We start from the raw sequence: 13,643 nt of genomic DNA, 5'->3' as shown, positions 1-13,643 counted from the left end.
AATAAGTTTGTATGTAGACCTAAAGCTATGCACAGTGCTACAAGAAGAGGAAGAAGCTAATTGTGCTTGTTTTCACAGAGGAGATAACACTGCAAGGATAAACAGGAAGGAGTTCACCAAGCAGAAAAGGATAAGAAAAATTCCAGTTAGAAGTCACTGCACATGTCAAAGCATAAAAGCATAGAGAGGAGGTTATTATAACTAGAATATGAGTTGTGAGATGGATGATTAGCATGAGAAGTACACAAAGATGAGCCGAAGAGGCAGGTTAGAGCTATCTTAGGAAAACACTGTTATTTTATAACTAAGAATTTTGGACTTTAGCCTATAAGCATTGGGAAGTCAAAGGAAAACAAGATTAAGCGAGGGAATTAAATTATCTGATTTGTGTTTGAGGAATAACATCATAGCAGCAGAATGAAGAATGAATGGAGTTATTATTCTACGGAGTTTAAAAAATTCACTATGCATCATTCAGACTAGGATTGACATTCACACTCACCAGCATGGCTCTGTTGTAATTCGGGCCAGGCTGTCCTGGCGTCCTCATTTCCCACACTGGTGCTAAAAGAAAGATTTGGTGCATCTTCTCCAATAGTGACATCGCCTTCTTTCAGGGCACATGTCAGTTGGTGAATGCTTCTGCTGGCATGTTCTGCAAGAACAACCTGACGAAAGTTAGGACCCATGGAGTCTGGTTGACCAAACGGACACTTACTCAGGAAGGCAGTTTTTAAAGGTGAAATCATTATTTCTCGTACTTTATGGAAAAAACGCAGAGTTCTGTTTCTAGCTTGCTGAGGGATGTGCCAAAGATGGTGAGAGAAGATTAACTTCATGGTTTAGAGGTAGGACTTGATGATCTCTAAGGCCCCTACCACTGTAGCAGTTGATTTCACTACATATAGCACCACCGGCAAGGATTAAATGACAGAACTCTTCCCACCAGCTCCCATTAAACAATAACTTGCTAAGGGAAGTGCTCTCCTTCCCACCATGCCTGACTCCTTTACCAACTTGGAGACAGAGGGGGACGAAAGGAGCAGTGGGGAGGTGGGAAGAGCCAGCAAAAGGGACTGCGTCACACCCAGTTCCAACCTAGGGAAGCCTCATTGTCCCTGGGGACAGGAAATCCCTCCCCCACCAAGAGACATCCACATGTCTGGCCTAGTTTTGATCAAAATTTGCATAGCTGAAGTGCTTATAGTGGCAGCCCCGGCGGTACAGCTCTTTCTATATACTGCTGGCCAACCACACCTCATAGATTCTTGGTTAGTGCAACTGACCACCCCTAGAACACACAAAAACTGTCTAAAATGAAGTATTTTAAGGTATATTACTGTGATAGTTCATCTCTAAAAATAGCCTCCAAGGGGTTGCAGCGAGCCGAGATCGCACCACTGCACTCCAGCCTGGCAAGAGAGCGAGACTGTTTCAGAAAAAAAAAAAAAAAAAAATAGCCTCCAAGGAACCCAGCCTCATTCCCTTGTTCTCTTCTAATCTGAAACTGACTGGGCCTGTAATCTGCATTAACCAATAGAATGCAATAAAAGTTATACCATGTCACACCCAAGCCTCATCTTTAAAAGGACTGGCAGCTTCTGCTTCCTCTTGGAATGTTTGCTTTTGGGAGCCCTAAGCCGCTATGTAAGATATCTGACTACCCTGCTGGAGAGACCTGTGAAGAGCATACGTGGAGAGGAAGAGAGAGGCCCTGAGACCCCATGAAGAAAGAGAAAAGCCCTCCCCGCACTGCACCCCGCTGCCCCACTCTGACAGCCCAGTCCTCCAGAGGACTCCAGCACCAGAGGCACGAAGAAAGAGAAAAGCCCTCCCCGCGCTGCACCCCGCTGCCCCACTCTGACAGCCCAGTCCTCCAGAGGACTCCAGCACCAGAGGCCCTCTAACTGCAATGGCACGAAAGAGACCTGATTCATTACCAACCATGTATAAAAATACATTTATAAACATATATTCTGTAGGACCTTGAAAAGCAGTTTCCATTTTGTCCAAGTGCACTGATTTCAAAGTTTGGAACAGAAACAAAAGCAATGTTAGTACTTAATAGAAAAAAAAAGTCTCTGTTATACAATATCTAATACAGTTTCTTTACTTGCAGCAACTCATTTTCTACTTTGATAAAAGAAAACATGTATTTCAGGTCAGGGTTCGACAATGAAATTCTATTACTCAACTATACAAGAGACACAGTTAATTTATCACCATATTTTTCTCCATACCAATCCTATGTCCACACAGATCTTTCTTTGAAATGAATTTGGCGCTGATTACTAATGAAAACTGGCCTCCTCTGACTCATCATGAGTTTAAGGAAGTTCAGATAAGACGCATTCCTGGTTTTGGGAATATATGAAACTGTGATAGTTTTACAATAACTTAGTATTAGAAAATAGAATAGAAAAGCGATTTGGTCATGGAAAAGGAAAATCAAAGTGTTACATGATAAGCAATTCAGTTCATGGAGCTTTAGATTTATGCCCTTAAATCCACGAATAAAACACTTATCTTTATTGAATCTATTAGAAAGGAACGAGACAGTTTGACTAACATAAAAATGTATTCCAGGTAAAAGCATTGCACCGTTGGTGATTACGGAAGAAACAGGAGTGTGGTGTGACCATGAGGAAGCAAAAGAAAATGAGGAACTATACAACCATGAAGCAAACGCTTAGTCTCAGAGATCAGAGGCTTAAAGAAAAGGATAGATTAAAACCTAAAGAGAAAGAAAAGAAGGATCCCAGCGCGTTAAAGGAAAGAGAAGTTCCGCAACACCTTTCCTGATTATTTTGCCAATATAATACACAGCTGGGCCCACCTTACCACATCCTCGTTGATACCAACTTTATCAACTTTTCCATAAAAGCCAAACTGGACTTAGTGCAGTCAATGATGGGCTGTCTGCATGTCAAGTGTATCCCTTGTATAACTGATTGTGTAATGGCTGAAATTGAGAAATTGGGGCAGAAGTATTGAGTGGCTCTAAGGATCGCCAAGGATCCAAGATTTGAACAATTACCATGTACACACACAGGAACCTATGCACATGACTGCTTAGTACAGAGAGTAACTCAGCCTAAGTGTGTGTAAGTGTTACATTGTGCCCACAGTTGACCGGGACTTTTTTTTTTTTTTTCTTGAGAGGGAGTTTGGCTCTTGTCGCCCAGGCTGGAGTGCGATGGCGCAATCTCGGCTCACCGCACCCTCCGCCTCTCGGGTTCAAGCGATTCTCCTGCCTCAGCCTCCCCAATAGCTGGGATTACAGGTACCTGTCACCACGCCCGGCTAATTCTGTATTTTTTTTTAGTAGAGACGGGGTTTCTCCACGTTGGTCAGGCTGGTCTCAAACTCCCGACCTCAGGTGAAATCCGCCCGTCTCAGCCTCCAAAAGTCTTGGGATTACAGGCGTAAGCCACCACGCCCAGTGACCGGGACCTTAAAAGAAGAATCCATAAGATTCCTGGAATTCCTATCATGTATATTTCTTTTTTTTTTTTTTAAGACGGAGTCTCGCTCTGTCGCCCAGGCTGCAGTGTAGTGGTGCGATCTTCACTCACTACAACCTCCGCCTCTCAGGTTCACGCCATTCTCCTGCCTCAGCCTCCCGAGAAACTGGGACTACAGTTACACGCCACCACGCGCAGCTAATTTTTGTACTTTTAGTACAGACAGGGTTTCACCGTGTTAGCGAGGATGGTCTCGATCTCCTGACTTTGTGATCCGCCTGCCTCGGCCTCCCAAAGTGCTGGGGTTACAAGCGTGAGCCACCGCGCCCAGCATTTTTTTTTTTTTTTTTTTGAGACGAAGTTGCACTCTTGTTGCCCAGGCTGGAGTGCAAGTAGTGCAGTCTCAGCTCACTGTGGCTCTGCCTCCAGGGTTCAGATGGTTCTCCTTCCTCAGCCTCCTGAGTGGCTGGGATTGCAGGCATGTGCCACAGTGCCCAGCTAATTTCTTTTTTTTTTTTTGTATTTATAATAGAGACAAATACTTTTGTATTTTTAGTACAGAAAAATACACCTCGGCCTCCCAAAGTGCTGGGATTGCAGGCATGAGCCACCGTGCCTGGCCTACTCACTTTTTGATGCTGTTTTGAAATTGATATTTTGTCTCATAAAAATTTTAGTCCAGGCACAGTGGCTCATGTCTGTGGTCCTGGGACTTTGGGAGGCTAAGGTGGGTGGATCACCTGAGGTCAAGAGTTCAAGACCAGCCTGAACAACGTGACAAAACCCCATCTGTACTAAAAATACAAAAAAGGTTGGCAGGTTGTGGTGTTGTGTGCCTGTGGTCCTGGCTGCTGGGGAGGCTGAGGCAACAGAGTTGCTTGAAGCCGGGGGGCGGAGGTTGCAGTGAGCCGAGATCACACCACTGCATTCCAGGCTGGGTGACAGAGTGAGACTGTCTCATAAAAAAAAAAAAAGAAAAAGAAAAAAAAATTCAGTGATGGTCAAAGGGTACAAAATCTCAGACAGGAAGAATATGTTTTATACTTTTTTTGAGTTCTATTGTACAGTGTGGTGCATATACTTAATAATGGAGTATTACACATTTCAAAATTGATGTTCTCATCACAGAAATGTATTGGAAGTATTGGATATGTTAACTAGCTTTATTTAATTATTCCACATTGTATCCACAATTTATGACATCACTTTGTAACCCATAAATTTATACAATTATAAATTGTCAATTTACAATAAAAAATTTTTGTTGCGTTTTTAAAGAAGAAATGTATTCCATGGAGCTTTCAAATGACTTCACCTCTAAGGCAAGGGATAATTATTTATTTATACCTAGTCTGAGTAAAAGCTAATAAACTATATTAGGAAAAAGAAAAAAAATATGGAAAGAATTTGCATAGTTAAAAGCCTCTGTAGGCAGAGTTCTTTCATCAGATTACAAGAAAGGCAGGAGTTTTTTTTTTTTTTGGAGACGAAGTCTCCCTGTTGTCCCCAGGCTGGAGTGCAATGGTGCGATCTTGGCTCACTGCAACCTCCGCCTCCCAGGTTCAAGCATTTTTCCTGCCTCAGCCTCCCGAGTAGCTGGGATTACAGGCATGCGCCACCACACCCACCTAATTTTTGTATTTTTAGTAGAGATGGGGTTTCACCGTGTTGGCCAGGCTGGTCTCAAACTCCTAACCTCAGGTGATCCACCCACCTTGGCCTCCCAAAGTGCTGGGATTACAGGAGTGAGCCACCATGCCCGGCCTAGGGCAGGATTTTAAGAGCACTTTTCATTCCTTTTCTAATGTTCTTGTTTAATCTTTTAGAATTTATAACATTCAAAGACTACATGTTAAATTGCACTATGAACATAATATTACGTGAAATAATGAGCTATTGAATTCAACAACTATCCCAAAGAAAAGTGACACACAAGGCTTTAGGGTTTGTTTGTTTGCAACTACTGATTTCAGAGTTACTAGGGTCAGAGAGGAAAAGCAGGAATTTGCAAGAACTGTGCCCTAAAACTAAAACTACAGAGTTGACATTTTAAAGTCATTTCAACGCTACATTTCAAAACATGCTAAGTGCTTTTCAAATACATAACAAACCAGCATAATTATATACTATAACAGATAAACACAGTTAATGTGAAGAAGAATAACACTCAGATGATTCAGGACAGATGAAATCCCATGGCTCTTCAACTGGAGCCATTGCAACTGAAGCCCCCATAATCCTTATTAAGAGCACTACTCCCCAGATGCAGTTATCTGCTCCTTACATTTAAGGAAACCAGATTAGACAGAAGGTTCCAGTTACCGTTTCCTATCCAACTGCTAATGGGACACAGCTTTATCTGTTTCTAACCAAGAGAGAGAACACACTCATTTCCTCTTCTCTCCTGAGAGGACAGTAAGGGTATTTCACAATGAATGCATCCTGATTTCTTTTCCCCAGCACCAACCAGGAACTGACTATAAACTTAACTATGACTACAGACACAAACAGGACCCCTGAGTCCTACAGATCACATGAACGTAAGTGCAAGTAGATAATATTTCTGCTAATGCACTATCCAAACATCAATCAGTACAATGAGCACTTAAAAGGTACCTGAGCTAATGGCTGCTAGCTAATTTCAGTCTGTCTTGTCCATTTTCTTTCTTCTTTTTTTTTTGAGATGGAGTTTTCGCTCTGGTTGCCCAGGCTGGAGTGCAATGGTGCAATCTCGGCTCACTGCAACCTCCGCCTCCCAGGTTCAAGCAATTCTCCTGCCTCAGCCTCCTGAGTAGCTGGGATTACAGGCATGCACCACCACACCTGGGTAATTTTGTATTTTTGGTAGAGACAGGGTTTCTCCATGTTGGTCAGGCTGGTCTCAAACCCTCGACCTCAGGTGATCCTTCCGCCTCAGCCTCCCAAAGTGCTGGGATTACAGGCGTGAGCCACCCTGCCTGGCCTGTATTGTCCATTTTCTTAGTAAGAGTTTCCCTACTTCCTATGTTCTAACTCTTAGGTCACCACTGGGCCTGTCTTCATCAAGATGTTTTTGAACAAAATGCAAGTATGTCTCAGTCTAGGAAGAATCACCACTTAAATACACACTATGAATTATTAATTTCTTCATTCTCCATCTGTCCTGGGAGATGTGAAAGAGAATTGCCCTGGTGACAGGGAGGGGGACCACTCCCTGCGAAGCGCCCAGCTGTCTCTGAGAGAATATGCAATGAACCATTCCTCCCGAGGCCGAGATATGAGATGCACTGCAGCTCCCAGCACAAGCTTTGATTAGGGCAGACATGCAGAAAAATAAAACCACAGTGAGATAAGAAATACATGTCTATCTACACTTGACTGGGCCTCAGCCTGGTTCAGAAGATTGCTGTCACTGTTTACTAGGGGACCAACAGGTAACACTACCAAGATATAAACAGCAGAATCAAAAAATCAGACAATGTCGGCTTTGTGAAAGGCAATTACAATTGTGAAAGAGATTACAAGTACTATGTAGAATACTTTTTTGTTTGAATCTCAAAGAAAATACTATCCTAAGACTCTAATAACTGAAAACATGCTAAAGTGGTTGGCGCCAGGAGTAAAAGATAATCTGATAAAGAATGTAAACATCTTAAGAAAGCAATGTCTGGAAGACCATTAAAGATATGTGGGTGTTGGCAAATCCAGGAGATTGGCTATATGCATTCTAAGGGATACACCTGGTATTTCTTTGGCATCAGTGGAGAGGACTGATGCACCTGTCACTTTCCACTGATAAAAGAAGTAAACCTAGCCAGGCTGGCAAAGAACATAGGTAAAATCACCAGCAAATACAATCTGTATATCCTTACTTGTAATTACTGTAAAGTAGGATTCTTGCAGATCAAGGGCTACAAGCAAAGCCTGTACTTCTAGATCGTGATTTCTCAACCTCAGCACTATTGACAGTTTGGACCTGATAATTCTCTTTTGGAAGGGGCTGTGTTGTGCCAGTTTAATAGCATCCCTGGCTTCTGCCTACCAGAGGCCAGCAGCACTCATCTCCACCCCCAATTGTGACAATAAAAAAAAATCAATAAAACAAGACAGTTTTCAAGTCAATAAAACGAGATCAATAAAACAAGAGTTTTCAGTGTTGAGGGGAGACTTGCTATCACTCTGACCACATTACATTGTAAGTGTTGCCGCCTCTTGATGGAAAATGAGCGTGACAGTGAGCTATTCTGCCACAGGAGTGCTGGTGGGGAGGACACAGCCTGAGACCGACAGTGCCATGATGGGACACATCTGATCCAGGTGTCAGGAATAGGTGTTATATCTATCAGAAGCAAGAGCTCAGATTCATATTTAGCTTTATTTTGTTTCAGGGCCTAAAAGCAATATTTGCCCTAAGGCCATCCCTTTAAGTATCCAGTGGGCTTTGATGAAGTTCCGCCATCATCAGGATTGCTTCAGCCAGTGCACAAGGGCATTTCTAGCTACCTTGTCTACTTTTGGACTCTGAGAAGAGTTATCATCAAGTAAAATGGTGAAAATCTTAGCACAAACTGGCAATGTGATCAGACCATAAGTCTTTAAACATCCCAGGAGAGAATATTATTACTCTCAGTATCTCAATAGTTTGAAAAAAACTTACTCTATACCTATTTCTGACAAAGAACATGAAAAAGTACCCCTACAATCTCCTAACACTGAAACATACCTTTGATTTAGATTATTCCAGGGATGACTATTTACTTGTAGAACACTCATTTCTTTTCTGGTTGCTAAATCCTGTCTTTTGCCAATTTTATCTCATCAGTAGTAGGAAAGAAAAATTGAGATTGTACTTTTAAGTTCTAGTAAAATAAAAGATCATAAAAGTTAAAGGCACTAAGAAGAGCCACATGAGGCCAGGCACAATGGCTCATGCCTGTAATCCCAGCACTTTGGGAGGCCAAGGCAGGTGGATCACTTGAGGCCAGGAGTTCGAGACCAGCCTGGGCAACATGGTGAAACCCTGCCTCTACTAAAAATAAAAAAATTAGCCGGGCGTGGTGGTGGCACCTGTAATCACAGCTACTCGGGAGGCTGAGGCAGGAGAATCGCTTGAACTCAGGAGGCAGAAGTTGCAGTGAGCCAAGATCACATCACTGCACTCCAGCCTGGGCAAAAGAATAAGACCCTGTCTCAAAAGAAAAAAAAAAAGTCGGGCACCGTGGCTCATGCCTGTAATCCCAGCACTTTGGGAGGCCAAGGCAGGCAGATCACCTGAGGTTGGGAGTTTGAGACCAGCCTGACCAATATGGAGAAACCCCGTCTCTACTAAAAATACAAAATTAGCCAGGTGTGTTGGCACGTGCCTGTAACCCAGCTACTCGGGAGGCTGAGGCAGGAGAATCGCTTAAACCTGGGAGGTGGAAGTTGCAGTGAGCTGAGATTAAAAAAAAAAAAAAAAGAAAAAGAAAAGCCACATGAATATATAAAACAAAAGATGAATATGTATAATTTGAATTTTATCAGCAAAAAACCCCTCATGTTTATGTGTGTATATTCCTATATAGTGCATATGGCAAACAATATTTAAAAATCCAGAAAATATTTGAGAAAAGCAAAAAAGAAATACAAGTTTTATAAGAAAACAGGAATACTTATTTGAGTTACACATATGTTTTCTTAAGACAGCCAGATGATATCACTGCTGGCTAATACACTGACCAAATTGTTGGCTAGTAAGACTAACACAGCCCTTCTACAATTGTGAGCCACTTTGCAGGATTTGGATAGATGTGCTAATCATATACAAGCAAAACATAGAAAGTCAACCTTATCTTTGGTTTTCTTGAACTACATCAATTCGTAAAGACAAGGCCCATCCCTGAGATTATATATTTTCTTCTCATATTCATCCTCTCACTTTCTGTGTACCTGGTTCAACTCCTTACTCTCATTTCCATAAGACAAAAACATAGCCCTTAATCATTCATCTGGTCCAAACAAGTGCTGATGGAAGGAACATTAATGATCAAAGGGTCAGAGAGTGGTGTCTAAAGGGGAATCAGGCTCTGGGTGTGTTTTGCTTGGCTTCCTTCTTGGAAGAAAAGAGGGAGGAAAAGAGGGAAAAAGAGAGAAGAAAAAAAAGGAAGCAAAGAGGGAGGGAGCAAGGAAGAAATTGAAATGTTTTTAGAAAAAGCAGAAACTGCCCAATTTGGCCATAAGCCTCATCATTTCCCTTAATGTCTTCCACTGACTCCATCATACCTTTTGATCATTTGCTTGGCACCTAAAGGCAATAATTCTCACATCCAGTCCAAACTTTTCGTTTTACAGTTGAGGAAACGGGAATCCAAGAACAGTGTGTTTCACTTGCCTAAGGTTACCCAGATGGTTGTCAGCAAAGCAAAAGTAAGTGCAGTGACCTGGCTCCCAGCTCCACATTCTCTCCTCTGACCCCACCACACTCTTCCCATAAATTCATCTAAAGGCTGAAACACCAAAATGTTGACAGAAAAAGGTAAAACCAGAATGCAAAATGTATATAGAAAATCATGAGTTCCTGTCATACAAGAAGTTTGTTTCATTTTTCCTTATACTCACCCAACCAAAGGTGGCTAGGAATGAGGTGAATAGGTGAGTCATGTATACAGGTGTTGTTGATAAAATTGTTATCTATTCCCAACGCTGCAGCAAGAGATGAGACATGATTCTGTTATTAAGGCTAAAATACTGCATTTCTAGCAATTTTTCTCCTTTCTGATATCCCCTTACACTCAAGTGTGCAGTACTTAAAATAGAGCCTGGATTGCCTATAATTGTGGCTTTTTTCACCCTTTCTTGGCTATGAAATAGTTCATTTCATACCTCTTGGCTTTATACAACGATGTATTGAATTTAGAGAAGGCGCATGTGCTATCTTGCCCACTTACAAATGTAGTTCTCGGCCATTCTGTGGTTGTTGAATTATAACTACCCATAGAGTAAATGAACACCTAACCTTACTGCCAAGAGACCTCCCAAATCACTTCCAGTTCTAGATTAAATTCTGTGGTTCCCAGGATACCCAGGACACATACACTTTTAACCACACTGGAAACTTTCAGACCATTTACTATGTAGGAATAATACAACAGATCTGTGGGGGCAACAAAGCCTTCCGGTTTTTCTGCCAGAACTCTCGTTTTGAAGAAGAATCATTAAATGTCTCCAATTTCTTGTAAAAGGGCATAGGCGACCCAAAGCAAGAGATATCTTTAGAGAAGTCAAACAGCAAATCCACTGAAAAGTGTAAGGGAATGGATGAAAGGTGAATGTGGAGCTGCTCCAAGATCATCAAGGTCAAAATGAGGCAAGGATCTCATTTTAAAAGCAAGAAAGTAAACGCTGACTCAGTTTTCACATTACAACTTCAAATTATTGATATACCATAATAGTACCAAAATTAAAGAAATGAGGAAAATATCTTTTTTTGTTTGTTTGTTTTGGAGATAGGATTTCACTCTTGTTACCCAGGCTGGAGTGCAGTGGCGCGATCTCAGCACACTGCAACCTCCGCCCACCGCAACCTGCGCCTCCCAGGCTCAAGCAATTCTCCTGCCTCAGCCTCCCGAGTAGCTGGGGTTACACGCGCCTGCCACCACGCCTGGCTCATTTTGTATTTTTAGTAGAGACAGGGTTTCTCCATATTGCTCAGGCTGTTCTCGAACTCCAGACGTCAGGTGATCTGCCCGCCTCGGCCTCCCAAAGTGCTGGGATTACAGGCGTGAGCCACCGCGCCCAACCTCATTTTAAAAACAAGAAAGTAAATGCTGACTCAGTTTTCACATTAGAACTTCAAATTTTGATATACCATAATAGTACCAACATTAAAGAAATAAGGAAATTTGTTTTTGTTTTTGTTTTTGTTGTTTTTTGAGACAGAGTCTCGCTCTGTCGCCCAGGCTGGAGTGCAGTGGCGCGATCTCGGCTCACTGCAAGCTCCACCTCCTGGGTTCATGCCATTCTCCTGCCTCAGCCTCCTGAGTAGCTGGGACTACAGGCGCCCGCCACCACGCCCGGCTAGTTTTTTGTATTTTTTTTTTTAGTACAGACGGGGTTTCACCGTGTTAGCCAGGCTGGTCTCCCATCTCCTGACCTCGTGATCCGCCCGCCCCAGCCTCCCAAAGTGCTGGGATTACAGGCGTGAGCCACCACGCCCGGCCCCAGGAAAAGATCTTTTTAAAATGGAAGTACGATCACGGAAAATAGGGAAAGCATTTTGCATTTTTATGCGGCCACTTCCTGGCTGAATATCAATGAAGGGATATTAGTAGTGACTACATGTGCAGTTATTTACAAGCTAGAGGAAAAACCGGTGAGGAAAGACCAAGACTGTTTATTAGGCTTCCATTAATCATAAACTACGCAAGGCATTTGGGGAAGTAATGGTGGGTAGACAAAACCAAACAAACCAACAAAACCAAAACAAAATAAGACATAGAACTTTAAACTGCATTTTATCTTACTACATAGTAATACAATTCTTAAATTATTAGGCACACTCAAAATAAGGAATTTCCACATAACTCCAGCATTGTTTATTAAGGAACAGAATACTTTACTTTAAAGGGAATTATCAGCCGGGCGCGGTGGCTCACGCCTATAACCCCAGACTTTGGGAGGCTGAAGTGGGCGGATCACTTAAGGTCAGGAGTTCTAGAGCAGCCTGACCAACATGGCGAAACCCAGTCTCTACTAAAAATACAAAAATTAGCCGGGCATGGTGGCGCGTGCCTGTAATCCCAGCTACTTGGGAGGCTGAGGCTGGAGAGTTGCTTGAATCCAGGAGGCAGAGGCTGCAGTGAGCCGAGATGGCACCACTGCATTTCAGCCTGGATGACAGAGTGAGACTCCATCTCTAAATAAATAAATTATACTACTCAAAAATAGCAATTTATATTTGTGAAGAACTTCTGACTGTACTTAAGTTCAGAGTTAATTCTGTTTTGTTTCCTTCCAGAAGCTGTTATATAAGCTAACATACAAAAATAAAAGTGCTACTAAATAAATGATATGTCCTGAAAAACCCATAAACATTTCAGGTTACATTTCCTGATTCACTGTTAAAATTATGAATACGTTTTTTTTTAAGTTGTTTAACTTTTTCTATCCTTCGTATTTGCTCTTGGTGAAATGTTTCCACTACCTTATATTGTTATCACACTAAATTTAAATTTTATTTCAAACTAATTTTAAAATGTATTATCCTTAAATGAAAACCCTTCATTCTGTAATTATTGAAAGCAGTACCACTAGTATTAAACATATTACTATAACATTAATTTAAAATGAACCCCTTTACTGCGTCAAAATGCCTAATGTTAAACAGCCTCCGACAATTATATAAAGACTTAAAATAAGGTCAAAGGAAGAGAAGCATCAGGAAAAACTTTCAATGAAAACAAAAAATTTTTGCCAATCTTAAAAATTACAATTACTCATATCATTGTGCACAGTATTTTTCTTGCTTCCAAATGAAAAGTTAGAAGTGCTTATTTTGTATCTAACAGCTCTTGAAACATCAGTAGGTTGAGGAAGGTGTTCATTAAAACCGATTTTTTTACTCCTGCAGTTTGAATACTGAGAATGTCGACAGTTTGTTAACACAATTGACAGATGTAACAATACATAGTAACCCTTATAAAATCTAGAGTCATGAGAAGATAAACTTTCTAATATTGAAAAACCTTCACTTTGCTTTAAGTAACAAGTATAAATAACAATTAACATTTAATGAGTGCTTGTCTAGTAAGCACTGATCTTTACCCTTACTTTCTATCATAGTAATCTATAATTATTTTTTTTTTTTGTCTTTCTCCCCAACTAATCCAGAAGCTCCATGGGGATAGGAACTTTGTCTTGTTCCTTACTGCATGCCTAGCACCTAGTATGCTTAACACATAGTAGGAGGCACTGACACATAGTAGGCATATTATGCAGAACAACACATGCTTCATAACTTAGTATTCTCAATGTCGCAAACAGTCATGACCTAGAGGCTTATGAAAATGCAACAGAATAGAAAGCAGAGTTTATTACATTTAGTAGAATAAAAATTCTTCAGTGAAACTTATAGTTTATATGTACACATATGTCCCATATAAAATTTATTTCTTACTATAGGTAAACATTTTAAGAAGTCTTAAAATCACTGCTTTATGGGGA

General features: G+C 41.3%; 1 protein-coding gene and 1 pseudogene across 6 annotated transcripts in view, besides 1 other annotated feature; one reads left to right on the top strand and one right to left on the bottom strand.

Moving 5' to 3' along the window:
* The window catches only part of SDCCAG8 (SHH signaling and ciliogenesis regulator SDCCAG8), a 244,051-nt gene that overhangs the window by 229,332 nt on the left and 1,076 nt on the right, over window positions 1-13,643 (bottom strand). For 5 of the 6 annotated variants that reach the window (NM_001350251.2, NM_001350248.2, NM_001350246.2 and 2 more), the window contains exon 2: window positions 503-655. Coding sequence is in view for 2 of the 6 variants with exons in the window: in NM_001350248.2 (NP_001337177.1) it covers window positions 503-655 (153 nt within the window). In the remaining 4 variants the exon portion in view is untranslated. Of the gene's footprint in view, window positions 1-502; window positions 669-13,643 lie in introns of all 6 variants that reach the window. The other variant, NM_001350249.2, reaches the window with a different exon arrangement.
* Window positions 1,726-2,925: an enhancer, noted in NCBI's record as "MED14-independent group 3 enhancer chr1:243431137-243432336 (GRCh37/hg19 assembly coordinates)". NCBI's record gives its function as "activates an origin of replication core promoter dependent on BRD2, BRD4, P300/CBP and CDK7 cofactors, and independent of MED14, by STARR-seq in HCT116 cells {active_cell/tissue: HCT116}" and the evidence as "EXISTENCE:reporter gene assay evidence [ECO:0000049][PMID:35650434]".
* Window positions 2,587-3,139, top strand: FCF1P7 (FCF1 pseudogene 7; annotated as a pseudogene).

The sequence above is a fragment of the Homo sapiens genome, chromosome 1 (genome assembly GCF_000001405.40).
Source record: "Homo sapiens chromosome 1, GRCh38.p14 Primary Assembly".
Lineage (NCBI taxonomy): Eukaryota > Metazoa > Chordata > Mammalia > Primates > Hominidae > Homo > Homo sapiens.
The sequence above is the reverse complement of the archived record's forward strand: the minus strand, read 5'-3'. Positions and strand labels throughout refer to the sequence as shown.